We start from the raw sequence: 19,850 nt of genomic DNA on the forward strand, positions 1-19,850 counted from the left end.
ACCTCTATAATCAATTACAAGAGTAAAATTAATGTCCAAGCCATTTAAAATGGGGTTAAGTTGATTATATGTTTTCTAATAAAAAGGGCTCTGTGTCTATGTGTGTGTGTGTCTATAAAATACAAATTTTCCTTGTTTTTCCACCTCTTCCTTGACGGTCCATTCTGTACACTGGCACCAGATTAATCTTTTACAGGTGAGACTCCAAGTTCACAAACCTTCCCCAGCTCACCTTCATTCACAGGGCCAAGTTGGAACCCTTAGCATAAAAGTTCCCCTCACAAGAGCCTCAGCTCCCTCCACACTTCTCCAACTCCTTCTAAATCCTCGCCTGCTGCTTAGCAAACTAGTTAACAGCTCCTGGCCCTTCACATGCATCCCCTCTCTTTCCCTGCCTTGATTCCTTGGTTCTCCTATCTGCTCAACCCGTGACCACCTCTCCACCACAGCAAATCCTGCTCGTCCTTCAAGACTCTGCCCAAGTCCTCTTAGGCCTCGCACACCATCCCTCTAGGCAAAAGGACTCCCCCTGTCCGACCCTAGAACACAGATTCAGCAGGGCATCATGGCTTGTGCTACCCAGGCTGGCTGGCTGAATCCCTCTGCCACCGTACTTCAGGAAGAAAGGGAGAAAACAAATTTACTGAGGACCTCCTATGTGTCAGGTACCCAGCCGAGCATTTTTATAAATGTTCTCTCACTCCTTACCAGGTGGGTACTGGCATTTTCATTTTGACAGCTGGGAACACAGAGAATAAATAACTTGTTGAAGTAACTCAGCTGAGAAGTGATAGGACCAGAATATAAGCCTGGAAAGGACACGGGAAGGATATAAAACTAAAAAATCAGGAGATCTCCAATTTAATTAACCTTTCTGAATCTCATTTTTTTTTTTCTCATTAACGGAAATGGCTAACAACACCTACCTCATGGAAATGTGCAAATTAACTGAGGACATTATTTTGAAAGGCTTTATCAGCTGTGGAGGTTTCTTTTCTCTTGGTGCCTAGCACACTCCAATGCTTAATAAATATTTGTTACTAGATTGATTTCTACGTCTTCTCTTAAAAGCTGCACTATCTGTTAGTCTCCCATGCCACGTCTCCCTGCTCTTAGCTGGTTACGATAATATTCGTGTACCCAACTTTGAAAAAGAAATCATGCCATGATTTGCTGAGAACCATTTCCAGGTCCAGCATGATGAGAGAGTCAACACTTACCTGCACACATTTGCAAATATTGCGTAATGTGCTCAGGAGAGAGAATTCCTCCCAGTATTTTTGTAACCTGTGTTCGGTGGTGCTAACTAATTCTAATGTGTAACATCAGTTTGCTTCTCCCCCTTGAAAGATAGCAACTGTCAATAATCATCACCGTGTCTCCCACTTGCAGAGCTCACTTAAACCGTCTAAAAACCCTTGATAGGGAGTGATATCAGCCTTTTCCCTCTGGACCAAGCTACCTAAGGAAAGCAGTATTGGTCTCATGCTAAGTCATTTGTTTTTGCTAAGAGTTTTATTGTTCCTTCACACGATAGTGATAACTGAGTTTTGGCTTCTAACTTATCTTTCCATGCCTTCTGAGTATTTGCACACTATATTTGGCATATTTCATGGTCTGTGCTTCTGTTCTTTATTTCGATTTTCAGTTTCCTCCTTCGCCCCTCCTTCTTTCCATGATTACCCAGCTGAGCTCCATGCAAACATGTCTTCTCTATTTATTCACATCACAATATCATTTTGACCCTCAGCTTTCCTATTTCATGTTTCAGAAATTTCCCCAAACAGTACTCCCTTGCCCTGGTGTAATTAGAGCTCCTATCTCTGAACCTCTAGAGTTACAACTTGCCCTGATCCACAGTTTCTTTCCTGCTTGTGAATTTCCTTTCCTCTAAGTAGTAAAATTAGTAACTCTTTGCATTTCTTAATTGTAGTTTCAACAGCTTGGATTCTTTTTGTAGGAAACTTGCTTACTCTTTGGAGCTCCTTTTCCACCACAACTAGGCCGTACAAAACCAAAGTTATTTTTAAGATGGAGTGGTCCTCAAAAATAGGCACCAACCAGTGCTTTTGTACATAAAGTCAATAACTTCTAGATATAGATTTTCTTTCTCTACCATACGCCCCTGCTCTATACAATTACCCAGTGATCAAAACAGAAACCTTAGCCAAACAAACGCATCCTATGGTGTGCAATGCTTTTCCTTTCTTATCCAATATACAAGGCTTTTTCACTCTGCCTAGTTCAACTCTTCATAAATATTAATCGGTCCCATTGATTCATCTTTCCATTTTACAGCCATTAATAGACACCTCTCTGGATGGACATCACATAGTTTATCCACTTTAACCAGGCTGATCGATTCTCTTTTCTGAAGAACGCTTGCTTTAGAGAAGTCAGGGAAACCAATTTCTCTTCTTGTTTTCTTTTACCAGTCTTCTGAAGAAGAGCCAAAGGTGAGAGGCGCTCTAACCCATGAGGCTTTTTTTTCCCCTTCCTTTCTGTCCTCACTCACAGCACCTCTTTCTTTGCCCCAAAGCGCTCCCGCCACATCTGTGCCCCAATACCACTTGTTACTTAGCATCCATGCTGGCTGGCTGCCGTGGCCACACTTACAGGTGGTGTGGGTGGGCACTGTTCTCGGTCCACACATCCTCCCCAAGAACCCTGTTGAATGGAGATGTGACAGGGCCAGGGGTCACTTAAAGATTGTTCACAGGCTGCTAACAGGCTGGGGGAACAGTGGGTCCAAGTCAGAGCTGCTCTTGCCGTGGGTGATGGCTGGTCTTCTTTGGTTAAGCTGACCCAGCACTGCTCAGCCAAGTCTCTCATGGTCAAGTGTTATTTCTTCCAGGTAGTGGCCCAAACAAACATTCTTGGAAGGCCACTTTCCTTTGTTAACTTTATTAACAGATAAGTCTCTAGTACGAAAGAGTTCTGGGGCCACCTGAGGCATAGGGACAGTTTCTGTGCTGCTTGAGAATAATCCCTTTGGGAGATCATTCGCTTAGCGGCCAGAGACTTGTGTGAGCCTGAGAGGTAATTAGGTTATAGGTGCCGAGCAGATCCACTTGTACCAGCTGTTCTGGAAGAGAAAGCAGATGTGTGAATGGAAGAAAGAGATGCATTCGAGGTTACAGAATGAAGGTCAGCGGGAAAGATGAGAATTCAGGATTCTCACTGATAGTTAGAGGTTTGTTGGTTTTTAATTCCCAGAAGAATCATGAAGAATGGATAGTAATAATAATACTTGACCCATGCACACTCTTTTATATACTAGACACTGTTCTAGTGGTTTAAATGTATTCACTTATTTGATCTTCATACCACCCATAAAAGTCCCCATTTAATAGATGAGGGAAAAGGACACCCACAAGTTCAGTAAGGTGGCCAGGGTCACACAGGGAGAAGGATGTAGGACCAGGACTCAAACCCTGGCAGTCGGGACCCATAGCCTTAACTGTGTGTGTGCGCACGTGTGTGTGAGAGAAAGAGACAGTGGGGTATGTTTCAAAGACAGACATGGAGGTGGTGCTATGCATATGGTTCATATGAGTCCCCTCCAAAGACTATTTCCAGACTAAATAGTGGCTCCAAAAGCTGACATTTACTGAGCGCCTATTAAATCTTCTCGAATTCTTACAATAATTCAGCAAGAATTTTCAGTTTTGAGGTGAGAAAACAGAGATTCAGAGAAGCGAAGCGAATTGGCCAAGATTACCCAGATAGTAAGGCAGATGGCGGACCAAGACTTGAGTCCAGAGGCCAAGCTCTTTGTGGCCCACCTTGTCTGGAGAGGGCCCCCTCACCTTGTCAAGTGTATGAGTCAATCAGACTATGAAGTAGCTCACAGAACTCTTTCATAAATTTGTTTGCATTTTCATTACACATATTATCCAAAAGAATCTTGTATCCTATGTCATCTGGCTGATAAATTTCTGATCTCACTCTATGGATCACTGGAAGAAGAGAATGGACTCCTCCTTGCTGATCATTTTTATGTGGAATATCAAACCAATGTTGTGGATTCATTGACATGCATATACTTCAGAACTAAAGAGAGAGCACAGTGATAGTCCCTGAATGCTTGCCCTAAGGAAGGAGCTTCCCCAAAATACAAGGCAAGAAGATGCTACACGGGTCTTTCCACTCCACAATTTCACTTAGGATCTGATTGTTTTTGCATTTTCCCTTTCGAAGAATTTTGTAACTAGCCAGAAGGTAAGAATGTCACCTCCGTCCTAATCTGGACATGAGCTAGGATCTAAACTTAATGGGCAAACTCATGTGTGGCTTCGGGCAGCATCATTTTGCATGGGGTTTTGTCTGAAGGTGGATGAAGATGCAGGTAGCTGAGGGGGACACTAACATGGGGAGGCCAGTGTGGTGTCTGTTTGAAACTGGTCTGTAGCCCAGCATGGTCCCCAGGCCAGAGGATCTGCAGGCAAGACTGTAGGTGCTGATTTATGAGGGGCTCCGGGAGAAGGGGCCAGGAGCAGTTCTGCTTTGGAGGAGTTGCACAGGGTGGAAGAGAGGTCTATTACCCCAAATCAGGGAGGACCTAGATGTTCTCACTGAGGAGTAGGGGCCAACTGTAGCCATCAGCTGGGTGGGGACTGGGCAGCTGAGCAGAACAAAGGAAGGACTGTTTGTGAGTACCTGTGAGACACCCCTCAGGGTCCACAGAAAGTCTTGGAGAGGGGTGCCCTCCTGTACTGGGAGCGCTGCAGAGATCAGAGCCTGTGAAATCTGGATCGTTGCTATTAGTGTGACTCATTAGTATCCACAGACTCCCAGCCATGGGGATATATGGTTTATAAGAGCAACACCCGTAAGAGTGGGGAGTGGGGTGGTCCATGAATACAGGTGTGATGGGTTCTGTACTACCAGGCAGCCTGTGAAAAGGAGGTAGGGTCATATTTGTGCTTGGGGTATAGGCATGTGATAAGTGAATAGATAAATAGTTCTCTTGAAAAGATCTCTCAGGTAGGGCCTTGAGTTTCAGGGTCACAAATATGATCCAAGTTGCAAGATCTCAGAGTATGGAATTCTGAGACTCTTGGACTTAGAAACAAAAACACATAAACAGGAAGCTCTGGAAGCAGTGGAAGAACCTGGAAAAGCCCATCTGTCCAGAGGCTGTCAACAGTGGGCACAGCAAAGGGCACGTTCACATTGGCAGGTGCACAGCATGGACTGAGCCCAGGGAGTTTCCGGAGGTGTGGGGTGCCTAGGTATCCAGGCATGTTCACAGGCAACCACATACAGACCCATTTCGAGGGCAGGTGGGGCTCAGTCTCCAGGATTTCCAACTTACCTGACACTATCCCCCAATTCCCAAGCAGGTGTTTGAGCCAGACTCCCATGCAAGCAGGGACAGGACCCCACCCTGTGCCTTCACTAGTTTTGGGAGACCACCAGCAGTGCTGGGTGCAGTCCACATATCTGCTGAGTCTTTCATCTTCATATTGTGTCTCGGTACTTTTAATTAAAGGATCCCAGAAAGCCGACTCCTAAAGGAGGCTGGTGTTGAGCCAGGCCCTTATATAACACACCTACTTGCTATAAACAAGAGCACCAGAGAAAGGTTTCCAATTGGATTGAAAGTGTTCCCCCTTTTGTCTGCAGTTTGGACAACTTCAAGGCTGTAAAGATGAGTCTACCCCACATATATTATTGTCCTTACATGTTCTCTCCCTTTTTGTTCTCTCCCTTCTAACTCAACCTTCAACTCCCTATCGTGGAAGGAAATATAGTTGTTGTGTGTGTGCATGTGTGTGTGTGCCTGCGTGCATGCATGTATGTGTGAATGTGTGCGTGTGCGTGTGTGTTTCTCAGCATAATCCGCTTTAGCAGGCTGCTAGATCTGACCAGTAGCAGCAGCTGTGGCAGCTGCAGCAGTGGCTGATTGCACTGGAAGGGCATGGATAAGCCTGTTTGATGGAACCAAGAAGGAAGGCATTTAAAACCTTCATGTCTTTCTACTGCTCTTTGCAAGCCCTCATTAGCTTCACTAGAGGGAAAACTTATCTTGTAGGGTTCAGTCGCTGTCTTCCTCTGGGCACACAGCACAATCAGGAGGGATTTCCATTCAAAATAAAGGAGGTGGAGTTGGATTTTTAAAAAGAGAGAAAGGGAGAAGAGCATACTCTCTCTCATCTGCTGAAACTCACTGAGCCAGGTGACCTCCTGAAAAGGTAGGAAGACATTGGTTTTGCCTCCTACTCCCTCTTGGCTCTCTGACTCTGAGACCCACAGGCGGTCCCAGTCAGTAAACGGGGTTTCTGGTCCTGTATGAGTGTGCTTTGTTTTCCGAGGGAGTCTGAATACTACCCATCCAACCTTCTATATCGTCTTTTTCCCTGACGTGGAAAGATTACAGTTCCCAGATAGATGGCTGGAAATTGCTTCGGGGAGAGGGTAGAGTGGTGACTGGTGGGAATAAAGGATTCTGGATGGGAAGCCCCGGAGGAAGCCACTGACCGCAGTGCATGCTGGGGGTTGTAGTTCTCGTGTACTCCACGGGTAAACAAGTCAGAGAAGCAGGCAGAGGAACCAACTCAGTAAAACCCGAGCTATGTGAGATGAATGCTTGCTGGATCCCGGGATTTAGGCTAAAGTGGGCCAGCCTAGCCTGCCTGCTGAAGACATAAGAAAGGTATTCAGTCTCCTTATCCACGTTTATATTTTGCCACTTGATCTGTCAAGAAATGAGTTAAATGTTTTAAAGTTTCCCATCGCTTTTTTTTCCCTGTCAATCCCTTACACTTTGAACAAGTTTTCCTTTATATATGACCTGGCTACATTATTCAGGGCTTAATATGTATGATGGAAGATCATATCCTTTGTCAACAAAATATTACCTTCTCTGACCCATGAATTCTTCCAGTCTTGAATTTTAATTGGACTGACAATCATTTCGTGATATTTTTCTTTTTGCTGTGTTTTCTGGGTCAGTCTTTTAATTTTTATGAGTTAGTATGCCTCTTGTAGACAGCATAAAGTTGAATTTTCTAGGAAAACATAAATTAACTCAATAAGTAGATTCCCTGATAAATCAGTAAGTATAGAAGATACTAAATAAGTTGTCAAAGGCTGCATTCAATAAAGTCAGGCGGCTCAGATGGGTGTGTAGTTTGTTTATGGGTGAGTTTTTTCAAACCTTCAACAAAAAGTTAATTCCCATTCTAAACAAATTATTGCAGAACACAGCAATATATGTAAATCTTTCCAAATCTACTTATAAATTCCAAATTAACTTATAAACTTGTAATCTTGTTAACAAGTCTGATGAACCTAGGGCAAAGGAGGCAACTGACACTAATATAGCTTACAAGTATGGAGAAAAAGCTTTAAAATGTTTTAGCAAATCAAATCCAGCAATATATTAGAAGAAGACTATATCATACCAAGGATATTTGATTACTAAAATGCAATGATGGATCAATGTGAGAAAACTAATAATACAAAGTATCACACAGAAAGGTTTGAGAAAGGAAAAATGATTATCGCAATAAATACTAAAAAGGCATGTGGTAAAATTCAACATTCATTCCCAATAAGACCTATTAATTAACAAATACCCACCATCATAGTTAACAATGAAATAATAAAGATGTTCTCGTTAAAATCAGGAAACAGTTGAGGATGTTAATTACCACAAATGTTGGTAAACATTTTCCTAGAAATTCCCATTATAAGACATACAGAAAAACAGTAAAAACATCAAAAAGGATAAAATTATTACTTGTAAGTTATATGATTAGTCTGTCCAAAGAAACTTGAGTATAACCTAATCACTTTATATGCATCCTATGAAGCAAGAATTGTATCACCCCCATTGTACAAATGAGGACACCAAGGCCCAATGTCATACACCTAGTAATAGGACTGGCATTTGAATCCAGGTAATCTGACTCCAAAACCCTTTCTCCTAACCACCTGTGTTACACTGTCTTTCCTTGTTTCACTCTATAAAGTTTAACTATCATTATTATAGCAATATAAGAAATACTTTTCCTACACACCACTAATAACCAACTAACAACACATTTAAAAGAGTATTTAAATTTAAAATAACAAAACAATATAAAATTCATACAAATAAACCTAACAAGAAAAGTGCACCCAAAGAAAAGTTAAAAATTTAATAAGGGGCAGAAAAGAATATTTGAACAAATAAAAAGATGTATAATTTCCTGGATAGGAGGACAAATAATGGGAAGATGTAAACTTTTTGGAGATAATTTACACATTTAATGCAATTCCAATTCAAAATCTGAAGAGATTTTATTTGTTTGGAATTCAGTGAAATGATACATATATTTTATTTGCAAGAAAAAATGAGAACAACCAAAATTGTTTGGAAAAGCAGAATAAGGAAAAATGACTCACGTTGAAAAAAATCAAAATGCTTTATAGAGCTATAATAATTTAAATTGTACAATTCTATACCTAGCCATATCAATGGAATAAAATATAAAGTCCAGAAATAGATACAAATATATATAGTATACAATAGAGACATTACCTCAAAAAAAGGAAGGGAAGATAAGTCATTTAATAAAAAGTGTTCTAAAAATAAATGCAAAGAAGGTATCACAAAATAAACAAATGATTGATTTGCCTCTGCACATATTTTAAAATACGTCAAAAAATAGCAACAAGTTAAGAAAAAAAGATAAACTGGGAAAATACTTTCACAACATATTCCAAAGATATCCTTAAAATATAAAGAATTGTTAAAATTAACAAGAATAACTAGGAAGAACAAGAAGAAGAAGCAGAAGCAGCAGTAGCAGCAATTAAAAGGTAAAAATTAATGTGGCCAATAAACACATGGAAATGTGCTCACTTTACCAGTAATCAAAGACAAGCTGATTAAAATATTTTATATGTAAAACGACAACTATATACATATATTTTAATCACCGGGTATTTTATCAGCAAGAACCAGTTTAAAAATATGCTGGAAAATTTACTCTCAATAGCAACTAAAGCCATAAATTACCAAGTTACAATACTATAAAAATACACTCTTTGAATTTTCTAACACATGCACAGATTTGATTAAATGAAGATCTATATCATGATTCTGAATGGGAATGTTGAACATTGTAAAGATGTAAATTCTACAAATTATTGCAAGAAATGTATCTTAACATTGTGGACGCATCTTACAAGCATAAGGCCAACAAAAGAATCCAGTAACGAAAGTTTCCACTTTTTGCAACTTACCATTTATATAAAGTTTAAGACCAAGCAAAACGAATCTATGGCAATTGGCGGCATGAGATTGTGACCTCTGGAGCAGAATCAATGTCCAAGATAGGGACACAGGGTAAATGCTGGGTGGGGTCACCTTCGTTGCTTCCCTTGGGTGGTGGATACCTGGGTGTGCTCAGTAAATCCAATGAGATGTCTGCTTATGATTTGGGCACTTTTCTGTATAAATGTTACATTTCAATAAAAGGTTACTTTAAAAAAAGGAAAAAGCATGAACTTAGGTTCTTATGCCATACTTTATAATTATAAAACATCTAGCGAAAGGTAAGTGTTAAACATAAATATTAAGTAATAAAATATGAGAGTATGTGCTCGGTGAGAGCAAGCTCGTTTTTAAAACAGTTTGCTCACTGTTTTATTCCCAGCCCGTGGAATAAAACCTGGTTCCAACAGTGCTTAATATTTATTGAGTGGATGAATTAGAAGAAAATGCCAGTGAAAAGTTAACTGGCATTGGGTTGAGAAAGGGCATTCTAAATATAAACATAATGGGAAATAAAACATATATTAAAATACTGGCATACTTAGCCGCCAAACATTTAAAACTTCTGTAAGTAAAATACATAAAGAACATAAACAAAATTAAGGTAGAAAAACAAACTGGCAAAATATTTATAATAAATATGACACTGAAAATTAATATTTTTAACAGGTTAAGCACTTAACGGTTAATAAGGAAAACACTAACATTCCTAGGGAAAATGGGTAAAAGCAAATGGACAATTTGCAAAAAAATACAAATGGCCAACAAACACATGAAAAGATGTTTGAGATGATTAATAACCAAAGAAATGCAAATTAAAACAGCAAAATACCAAAGTTTTTGGTTCGCCTATCACATTTTTCCTTCACTTACTCAACAAATATATTTTTGAGTGGCTATTACATCAGGCATGCCTGGGGATTCCATAGAAAAAGAAATCCGCTATGCCCCCACCCCTCAGGGAGCTTACATTCTGGAGAGGAACATAATAGACAATAAACAAATTATTGGGCACATATTTAGTGTGTCAAGTGATGATAATTACTATGGGGTTGGAAGGGGGAGTGTAAGTTCATGGACTGTAACAAATATACCACTCTGGAGTGTGGGATGTTGACAGTGGGGGAGGCTGTGTGTGTGGGGGGGGCATATGGGAATTCTATACTTTCCCCTCAGTTTTACCATAAACCTAAAACTGTTCTAAAAACAGTCTATTAAGGAAAGAAGCAAGAAAGAAATAGGAAGTGAGCGAGAGAGAGAGAAAAGAAAAAGAAAGAGAGAGGAAGGAAGGAAGGACGGAAGGAGAAAGAGAAGAAAGGAAAAAGGAAAGGAAGGAAGAAGAGAGGGAAGGAAGGAGAAAAAAAGAAGGAAAGATAGGAAGAAAGAAGGAAGGAAAGAGAAAGACAAAAGAGAGAAAAAGAAAGTGAAAGAGGGAGGGAAGGAAGAAAGAAGAAAAAGGAAAGACAGAAAGAAGGAAAGAAAGAAAGGAAAGACAGAAAAAAAAGAAAGAGGAAACAGGCAAGCAGAGTAAGAGAGATAGGGATGTGGGGCTGGCGGTTGGGAGATAGGGATGCGGGGCTGGCGGTTGGGAGACAGGGATGCGGGGCTGGCGGTGATGGTTGCTACTTTTTATGGAGGGTTTTTGAAGGCGTCTCTCATAAGATGGCATTTGAGCAGAGACCTGAGGAAGTGAAAGATGGAGGGCTGAAGCTTCCAGTTAGAGGAACAAGCAAAGACCCCGAGCAGGATCAGGTTTGATGTCTTCAAGTAATATCCAGGATGGGATGAAGCTGCAGGGGAGTGAGCAAGGTGTAGACAGGTAGAAGGTGAGGTTGGAGGAGTGGGTGGACGGGGAGGAATCATCCCACAGGGCCTTGTACGCACTGCAAAAACTTTAGTCTTTTGCTCTAAGAAATTAAGTCCGTTAATTAAAAACAAATGAACAGAAACAATTTTGGCTTTTACTCTGAATGAGAATCCACTTAGGGGTTTTGAGCAGAGGTGAGACATGATCTAACTTACATTGCAAGATGGTCTCTCTGGCTGCTGTGTTGGGAACAGACTGTAGGGGCAAGCGTGGGCACTTGGAGGGCAGGGAGGGGGCCACCACTGTAGTCACCCAGGCAGAGAGGTGGTGACAGACGAGGTGTCAATTGTGGAGGTGCTAAGAAGTGGTCACTTCATCTGTATATACAAAGGAGAGCCAAATAGATTTATAGAGCATAGCAGGGAAGAATCAAGAGTGACTCCAAGGTTTGGGGCAGGGGCATAGGGTAGAACCAATGGATTGTTGGGGATCATCCTACTGGAGACAAAGAATGGTTGGAGTATTGGGGAGTGAGTTAAAAAGAGAAGAGGTAGTGCCTGGAGAACGGGAGGCTTGACGTTGAGATTATGGAGGAGATGCAACTACTGGGAATGATAACACCAAAGGTGGAACCCTGCGAGTAGGTAGCTGTGTGGGGTGGAGTCAGTGGTGGGGTGGAGAGCAACAGCATTGGAGAAGAGGGCAAGGAACTGGGAGTCCAGAGAGGGAACAAGTGAAGACTCAATGTGGGTATTGATGTCACCAAGAATTATGACATGAGTTGTGTTAGAGACAGGGAACGTGAGCCATACACTGAAATCCTTAATAAATGAAGAGAGGTGTCACAGGGAGAAGTAGATGATTGAAGCCAGGAGGGGTAGCCCATGTTCTGCAACAGGAGTTTCAAAGTTAGGGGTATTTAGAGAGGGTGGAGGGAGAATGGTTTGGAAGCATCGATGGGGAAGAGGAAGCATACATCCACCACTCCAGATCAAGTAATTCAAGATATGTGGAGAAAAATGAGCTATGATGTTAAAACGCTGCAGGGAACATGGTGTCATCAGGGGAGAGCCAAGTTCTAATTAGAGCAAGAAGTTGAGAGGAGTGACCAAGTAGGAGGTTGAGGATATAGGGGATTCAGCTGATGACTGACTAGAAGTCTTCAAAAGTGGGGAGGAGTAGACGGTGCATCCAGGTTGGATGTGTTGTGTGGGAATGTGTCTGGGTGAGGTGAGATAATCTGGGAGTTTGTGGTGAAGGGTGAGATGGGAGTGGTTCTGTGGGTCAATAAGGCAGATTGCAGTGATGGATTGTTGGCCAGAGGTTTGGGGTGCTGGGAAGGGGGAGTTATGAGGGCCTTTCCAGAAGCACTCAGATCTCTGCCATTCCTCCTTGCTCCTGCTCATGGATGTGTGGAAGAAACACATGGGGAAACACACGGAGCACTGCCCTGCATCAACCCTGTGGGAGAGGGGTGGACGACGGGGAGGGTCAACCTTACCTGGAGCCTACAGAGCTCTGGGGCTCCTCTTCTCTAGCGGAGGAACCAAGAAACTCGAGCAATGCTGGGAAGGGTTCAGGAAATCCAGCCCTCCCATCCACAACTTGTGGCAGTGTAACTTGGGAGTTTGTTTTTGGAAAAAAAAATTAAAATATTTAATGAGAACCTTAAAATTGTGCTGATCCTTTGTTTTTTTAATTTCTCTTCTAGGAAAGTGTGGTAGAGACATAATCAAAGATTCAGACAAAGATATAACTACAGAATGCACATGACGGTTTTGTTAATACACCAAAAGGAAAAAAATTAAATAACGGACTCTCCCAATAAATTGTGACCATCTATAGTTTGGAATAACATGAAGATTGTTAAAAACTATGTTTACAAGAATGGCAATAACAGAGAAACACTTGCTATATAATTTTCACAATAACAAGGTGAAGAAATATTATATATATATATAATAAAATTCAAATTTTTAAGAGAAATTAAAATGTATAGAAAACATTGGAAAAGGATACACTTAATAATCTTTTTTTCAGCATGGTAGAATTGTGGGTGATTTTTGTTCCCTTTATATTTTTTAATACTTTGTACTTTTTAATGACAAATGTATATACTACCATTTAATGATAAAAATATATTTTTAAAATACTGGATAAGAATTATTCAAATAAATGCCTTATTTAAAAGTTAAATTGCAGACCAAGTGCAGTGGTTCACGCCTGTAATCCCAACACTCTGAGAGGCCAAGGTAGGAGGACTGTTTGAGGCCAGGAGTTTGAGACCACCTTGGGCAACAGAGCAAGACCCTGTCTTTGCTGGGCATGGTAGTATGAGCCTCCAGTCCTGGCTACTCAGGAGGTTGAGGCAGGGGGATTGATTGAGCCCAGGAGGTCAAGGGTGCAGTGAGCTATGATTGTGCCACTTGCACCCCAGCCTGGGCAACAGAGCAAGACCGTCTCTACAAATAAATAAGTAAATAAATAAGATACAATAAAAATTAAATTGCAAATGAAAAGTTACACTCTATCTCATCCTATTGTATACTAGAAATTATAATTTTCCTCCAATTCATTACTTTGATTATTCTACAAAATCAAGACTAAACTGGAATTCAAATCAGAAAGGCTAAGAAGCAAAGAATAACAATGGTGAACTTCAAGATAAATATCCCACATTATTTTCAAGGCAGAGGCCAGTGTTGCCTTCTGCATCTGTTTTGGGAAGAGTGCCCAAAGCCTTCAGAGGAGACAACCTTTTGTGCTGTGTCCCCTACTCCCCCCCCCATTCTTACCCTGAATAGCATTCTTTCCAAAAAAGAATAAAGAATACTCAAGGAAAACTATTAAAATGCTTGGCAAAACTACACAGACAGACACAGAGGCCAATTAAGTATAAATATTTCACACCAGAACTGTCTTTTTGACCCAGCCACTAATATCTACCCGGCCACAGATCTAAATGTTTGGATGAAAACGACAGAGCAGAGGAGGGCTGGTCAGCCAGCTGCAGAGGGGCGCCCCTTCGGAGCGTTCGCATCTGCCTGAAGAATATGTGTAGTACGTTTTCCTAGAAGCATGGAGGGGCATGCGGGTTTGACCATCTTCCTAAACCTGGAGAAGGTCACTGTTTTCCTTCAGGGATTATTCTGTCTCACCGCTTTTGTTTTTTGGTTTCCCTTGATCTAAAACAAAAGGGTCTACTTTCTTCTTTGGATTTTGAAGCTGTGGGTGCCTTTCTTCTCAGTTAATTTTTTTTTTTGTTTTCATCTGTTAAGACTTAGCTAGTTTAGGTTTTGAAAATGAACACACTGACAGCCATTGTGAGAAGATAGCCTGGCCTTTTGGAGGACAAATGCTGTGGGGTGGCGTAACCTTGAGGCTCAAGTCCTGGCACTGGCATTTAGTGTGAGTCATGCTGTATTGCTTCACCTCCTGGGCTTCAGTCTCTCCATCTGTGAATGTAGAATGACAATACCTGCTGTGCTGTAAGGTCACTGTGAAGATTAAATGAGATAATGCTTTGTAACCTGTTGGCCTCTGTGCAGTTTAAAATGATGTTTTTCATTACTTGGCTAAGTGCTGTACACCCACTGCTCTGTAGGCAAAATTCAAACAAAAAGCTTTGTAATGCTCCCACCCATTGAAAACATTACTATGTTAGCCTCTATATACATAAATTATTATAACAATACCTGGAAGGTAGGAAACACACTTTGAATTATATTGTTTCTAAGAGTGAGGATAAGGATTACTTTCATTCATTTATACTTTTTGGGCACCAATAATATGTATTTGTAAGATGAGATGGCCACTTTATAGATTGCATCTTGTATATTAAGAAACAATTAAATCTATTTTAAAAGTACAGCTAAAAACCTCCATTTCCCGAAATAGCGTGGATTAGATTACCTAAAATCTTTCCTACTACAAAACATCTAGAAATGTTAAAAACCTGTAATATTCTTTTAAATTCATTATTTGAATTCCAAGAAAGTAAGAAATATCCCTAGGGAAAAAAATGAAGATGGATCTGAACACCAAAATGTAAGCACAAGCCAATGTTGCAACAGCCTGGGTGGGGAAAGGGGAGTGAGAAAGTATGAAGTTGCCAATCTTATTAGGCAAGAGGATCTGCCTCTCTCAATCTCTATCTCTCTTTTTAAAAAATTAAATTAAAAAATTTCAAGCACTCACATAGAATACTATATGACACCTCCAAATACCTGTCACCTAGATTCATTACCAAAATCTTGCAACATTTTATCTTTATTGTTTGTATTTTTATCTTTGCTGAAGTTTTTACATTGAATCCTAGACATCATGCCATTTCACTTCACATATTCTTATATGCATATCTATTTAAACAGCACAGGAAAAGAGGTATGAGTATAAAATCAAAGAATTCAAACAGAGGCCTTATAATGTTAAACTTGAATTGGAAATATTAGCATGAACTCTCTCTTAAGAGAGAGTTTTATCTCTTAAGAGAAAAGGCCTGGCAAAAATGAAAACTCAGGAGCAAGAGGTCTTTGATGACTTCCTTTTTTCTGACACTGAAAGATGCCCCAGGATCTTCTTGGACATTTCTTGTCCCAAATCTGTAATTATTCATTTTTCCAAGGAAGCCTGGTCTTCTTAGTAAGAAATGACACTTAATGACCAATCCAGGACTGACACAGATCCTAGAATAAGCAAACAAGGACCTTGAAGCAATTACCATAACTGTATTCAATATGTTCAAAAAGTTAAGAAAGACATGGAACATAAATTTTTAAAATTAGACTTCTAGAGATGAAAACTACAATGTGTGAGATGAAAAACACACTGAATGGGATGAGGGGATTAACAGTAGATTTGACATTTTTTAAAAAGATTAATGAACTGGAGGACATAAGCAATAAAAAACATTCAAAATAAAAAATATAGAAAAAATAAGTTTAAAACATGAAAAAAGCATCAGTGAGCTGTGGCACAACTTCAAGTTTTTAATATAATAGGGGATCCTAAAGAAGGGGGGAAATAGAAAAATATCTGATGAATAATGGTCAAAATATTCCCCCCGATTTGATGAAAACTGTAAAACTACAATCCAGAAAGTTCAATGAATCTCAAGCACAAAAATTATGAAGAAAACTACACCAAGATACATCATAATAAAAATACTCAAAGCCAGTGATAAGAGAAAATTTTCAAAGCAGTACATTTATCTACAGAGGAACACATGTAAGGGTGATAGCAGACTTCTCATAGGAAACAATGCAAGTGAAAAGACAATGGTGCAACACCTAAAAAAAGCACTGAGCACTAAGTGAAAGAAAAACTCTGTAAACCTAGTATTGTATACCTAGTAAAATATCTTTCAAAAATAAGGTAAAAATAAAAACTACTTTCAAACATATGAAAGCTGAAAGAATTAATCACCAGCAGACATACACAATTAAACATTTAAGGAAGAAATATCAATTTTACAAAACTCTTAGAAAATTGAAGAGGAAGAAATGTTTTTCAACTTCTTATCTTTTCTTTTTTTTTTTTTGAGACAGTGTCACTCTGTCATCCAGGCTGGAGTCCAGCGGCATGATCTCGGCTCACTGCAACCTCTGCCTCCCAGGTTTACATGATTCTCCTGCCTCAGACTCCCCAGTAGCTGGGATTACAGGCATGTGCCACCACACCTGGCTAATTTTTGTATTTTTATTAGAGACAGGGTTTCACTATGTTGGCCAGGCTGGTCTCAAATTCCTGACCTCAAGCGATCTGCCTGCGTCGACCTCCCAAAGTGCTGGAATTACAAGTGTGAGCCAATGTGCCCAGTCGTCTTGTTTTTCAACTTCTTATGAGACAAGCATTACTGATACCAAAACCAGGAAAAGATGAAAAAAAAATCTACATATTAATATCCCTCAGGAGCAAAGGTGCAAAATTTCTAACCAAATTTTAGCAAATCAAATCTAACAATATGTAAAAAAGATAATATATGAGTTTCATATGGAGTTTATTCCAGGAAAGGAGGGTTGGTTTCATGTTGGAAAATTAATGTCATTTGTCATATTAATTAAAAATGAAAACCATATTATCATCTTGATATAAACAGGAAAAAATACGGTAAAATCAAACATCTATTCCTGATTATTCCAACATCTCAACAAACTATAAATAGAGGAAAATGTTCCCAATCCGACACAAATCATCTAAGAAAAATCTACAACTAACATCATACTTAACAGAAACAAGTCAGGAATGTTGGCTCTTACCACTTCTATTAAACATTTTGCTAGAAATCCTTGCCAGTGCAACCAGGGGAGAAAAAGAAATAAAAGGAATCCAGATTTTAAGGAAAGAAGTAAAACTGTCTTTATTCTTCATGACATGATTATCCATGTGGAAAATAGGATGGATTCTACAAAAAGGCTACTGTAATGATATAAGATCAATATACAATAATCAATTGTACTTCCATAAACTATCAACAAACAGAAATTTAAATTTCAAACAATTTAAATTGCATCAACAATATGAAGTCCTTGTCTGACAAAAGATGTGCAAGCTGTAAACACTGAAAACTATAAAACATTGTGAGAGAATTTTTTAAAGACCTGAATAATGGAGAGATGTACTATGCTCATGGGTCAGAAAATTCAATATTGTGATGTCGTTTTTCCTCAGATTGATCTATAGATTCAATATCCTTCCAACCAAAACCTGAGGGGGTTCTTTTGTGGAAATTGACAAGTTGATTCTAGGCTCTATATGGAAATGCAAAGAACCTAGAATAGCCAAAACAACTTTGAGTGAGAAGAACAAAATGGTAAGACTAATGCTACCTAATTTCAAGACTTACTATAAAGCTACAATAATCAACACAGTGTATTTGTGACATAAAGATAGATTAACAGCCCTGAAATAGATACACACATACTTAGACTACTGACTGTCAACTAAGGTTGATCCACTTTAAGTTAATTTTTCATATATTTTAAAAATTGCAAATATTTTTTGCAAGGCAATTTGGTAGTGAAAGGATAGTGTTTTCAACAAATGGTGTTGGAACAATTGGATATACATATGCAAATAAAAGGAGCTTTGATTCCTATTTTATGCTATATAAAAAATTAAAGTGGATCATATACCTAAATGTAAAACCTAAAACTACAAATATTCTAGAAGAAAATATAGGAAAAGAAATCTCTGTAACTTTGGTTTAGGCAAAGATTTCTTAGATACAGCACCAAAAACACAATTTATAAAAGAAAAACAAATTGATAAACTGAACTTCATCAAAATTAGAAATTCTCTGCTCTTCATAAGAGACTGTTAAGGAAGTAAAAAGGTAAGCCTCAGATTGGAAGAAAATATTTGCAAAGCATATACTGGATAAAGAACTCTCAAAACTCAATAATTTTTAAAAACCCACACAATGTAAAAATAGACAAAAGATTGGGACACTTTTCCAAAGAAGACATACAGATGGGAAATAAGCACATGAAAAAATGTCTAGTAACATTGGTTATTAGGGAAATGCAAATTACAATGGCCCTCCTTTATCTAGGGGGGAATATGCTCTGAGACCTCCAATGGATGCCTGAAACAGCAGATAGTACCAAACCCTATGTATACTGTGATTTCCCTATACATACACACCTATGATAAAGTTTAATTTATAAATTAGGCACAGTAAGAGATTACCAACAACTAATAATAAAATATTATATAATAAAATATTATTATAATAAAAATAATTATAACAATATACTATAATAAAAGTTATGTGAATGTGGTCTTTCTTTCTTTCTCAAAATATCTTTTTGTACTGTACTCACCTATGTTCTGGCCCATGGTTGACTGTGGGTAACTGAAACTGCAGAAAGTGAATCAGCATGCTGGGTGCGGTGGCTCATGCCTGTAATCCCAGCACTTTGGGAGGCCAAGGTGGGCGGATCACCTGAGGTTAGGAGTTCAAGACCAGCCTGCCTAACAGCCTGTCTACTAAAAATACAAAAATTGGCAGGGTGTGGTGGCACGTGTCTGTAAGCCTAGCTACTTCGGAGGCTGAGGCAGAAGAATTGCTTGAACCCAGGAGGACAGGTTGCGGTGAGCCGAGATCACGCCATTGCACTCCAGACTGGGCGACAAGAACGAGACTCCATCTCAAAACAAACAAACAACAAAAAAGTGAAACAGCAGAGAAAGGGAGACTGCTGTAAAACCACGATTAAGTACATGTACACAGTGTCACAGTTCTTTTTGTGCTGCCATAACAAAATACAGAAGACTGGGTAATTTATCAAAGAACAAAAATGTATTTCTCATAGTTTCTGGAGGCTGCAAGGTCCCAGATCAAGATGCTGGCAGGTTCCTTTGTCTATTGAGGACTGCCCTCTGCTTCCCAGATGGCGCCCAGTTGTGGCGTCCTCTGGAGGGGAGGAACACTGTGTCCTCACATGGTGAAAGGTGAAAGGGCAAGGGAGTCAAAAGCTGCACGAAATCTCTTAATCCCATTCATGAGTGAGGAGTCCTCAGGACCTAACCACCTCTTAAAGGTCCTATCTCTTGATACTATCACATTGGCCATTAAATGTCAACACCTGAATTTTGGAGGGGACACATTCAAACCATAATATACTCCTATTAAAATGGATAAAATTATAAGGTCTGACCATACTAAATATTGGAGAGAATGGGGAAGAATTGAAATTCTCATGCTCAGGAGAAATGTGCAATAGCACTTCTATGGAAAGCACATTTGCAGTTTTTTTTGAAAAGTTAAGTATA

General features: G+C 39.4%; 3 long non-coding RNA genes across 3 annotated transcripts; 1 reads left to right on the plus strand and 2 right to left on the minus strand.

Annotated features, from left to right (window-relative positions):
* Positions 1-1,496: 1,496 nt before the first annotated feature.
* LOC124904555 (uncharacterized) lies at positions 1,497-7,055 on the minus strand. The gene is made up of 2 exons (XR_007066952.1): positions 6,864-7,055; positions 1,497-3,085 (listed from the first exon to the last, which is right to left on the minus strand). It is a non-coding gene; the product is annotated as an uncharacterized LOC124904555 (long non-coding RNA).
* LOC105373209 (uncharacterized) lies at positions 6,537-13,276 on the plus strand. Its single transcript, NR_188651.1, has 3 exons — positions 6,537-6,658; positions 10,906-11,020; positions 12,787-13,276. It is a non-coding gene; the product is annotated as an uncharacterized LOC105373209 (long non-coding RNA).
* Positions 7,125-19,225, minus strand: LOC105373208 (uncharacterized). The gene is made up of 3 exons (XR_949287.4): positions 18,899-19,225; positions 12,577-12,694; positions 7,125-9,444 (listed from the first exon to the last, which is right to left on the minus strand). It is a non-coding gene; the product is annotated as an uncharacterized LOC105373208 (long non-coding RNA).
* Positions 19,226-19,850: the final 625 nt, after the last annotated feature.

Source organism: Homo sapiens, chromosome 1, assembly GCF_000001405.40.
Source record: "Homo sapiens chromosome 1, GRCh38.p14 Primary Assembly".
Taxonomy (NCBI): Eukaryota; Metazoa; Chordata; class Mammalia; order Primates; family Hominidae; genus Homo; species Homo sapiens.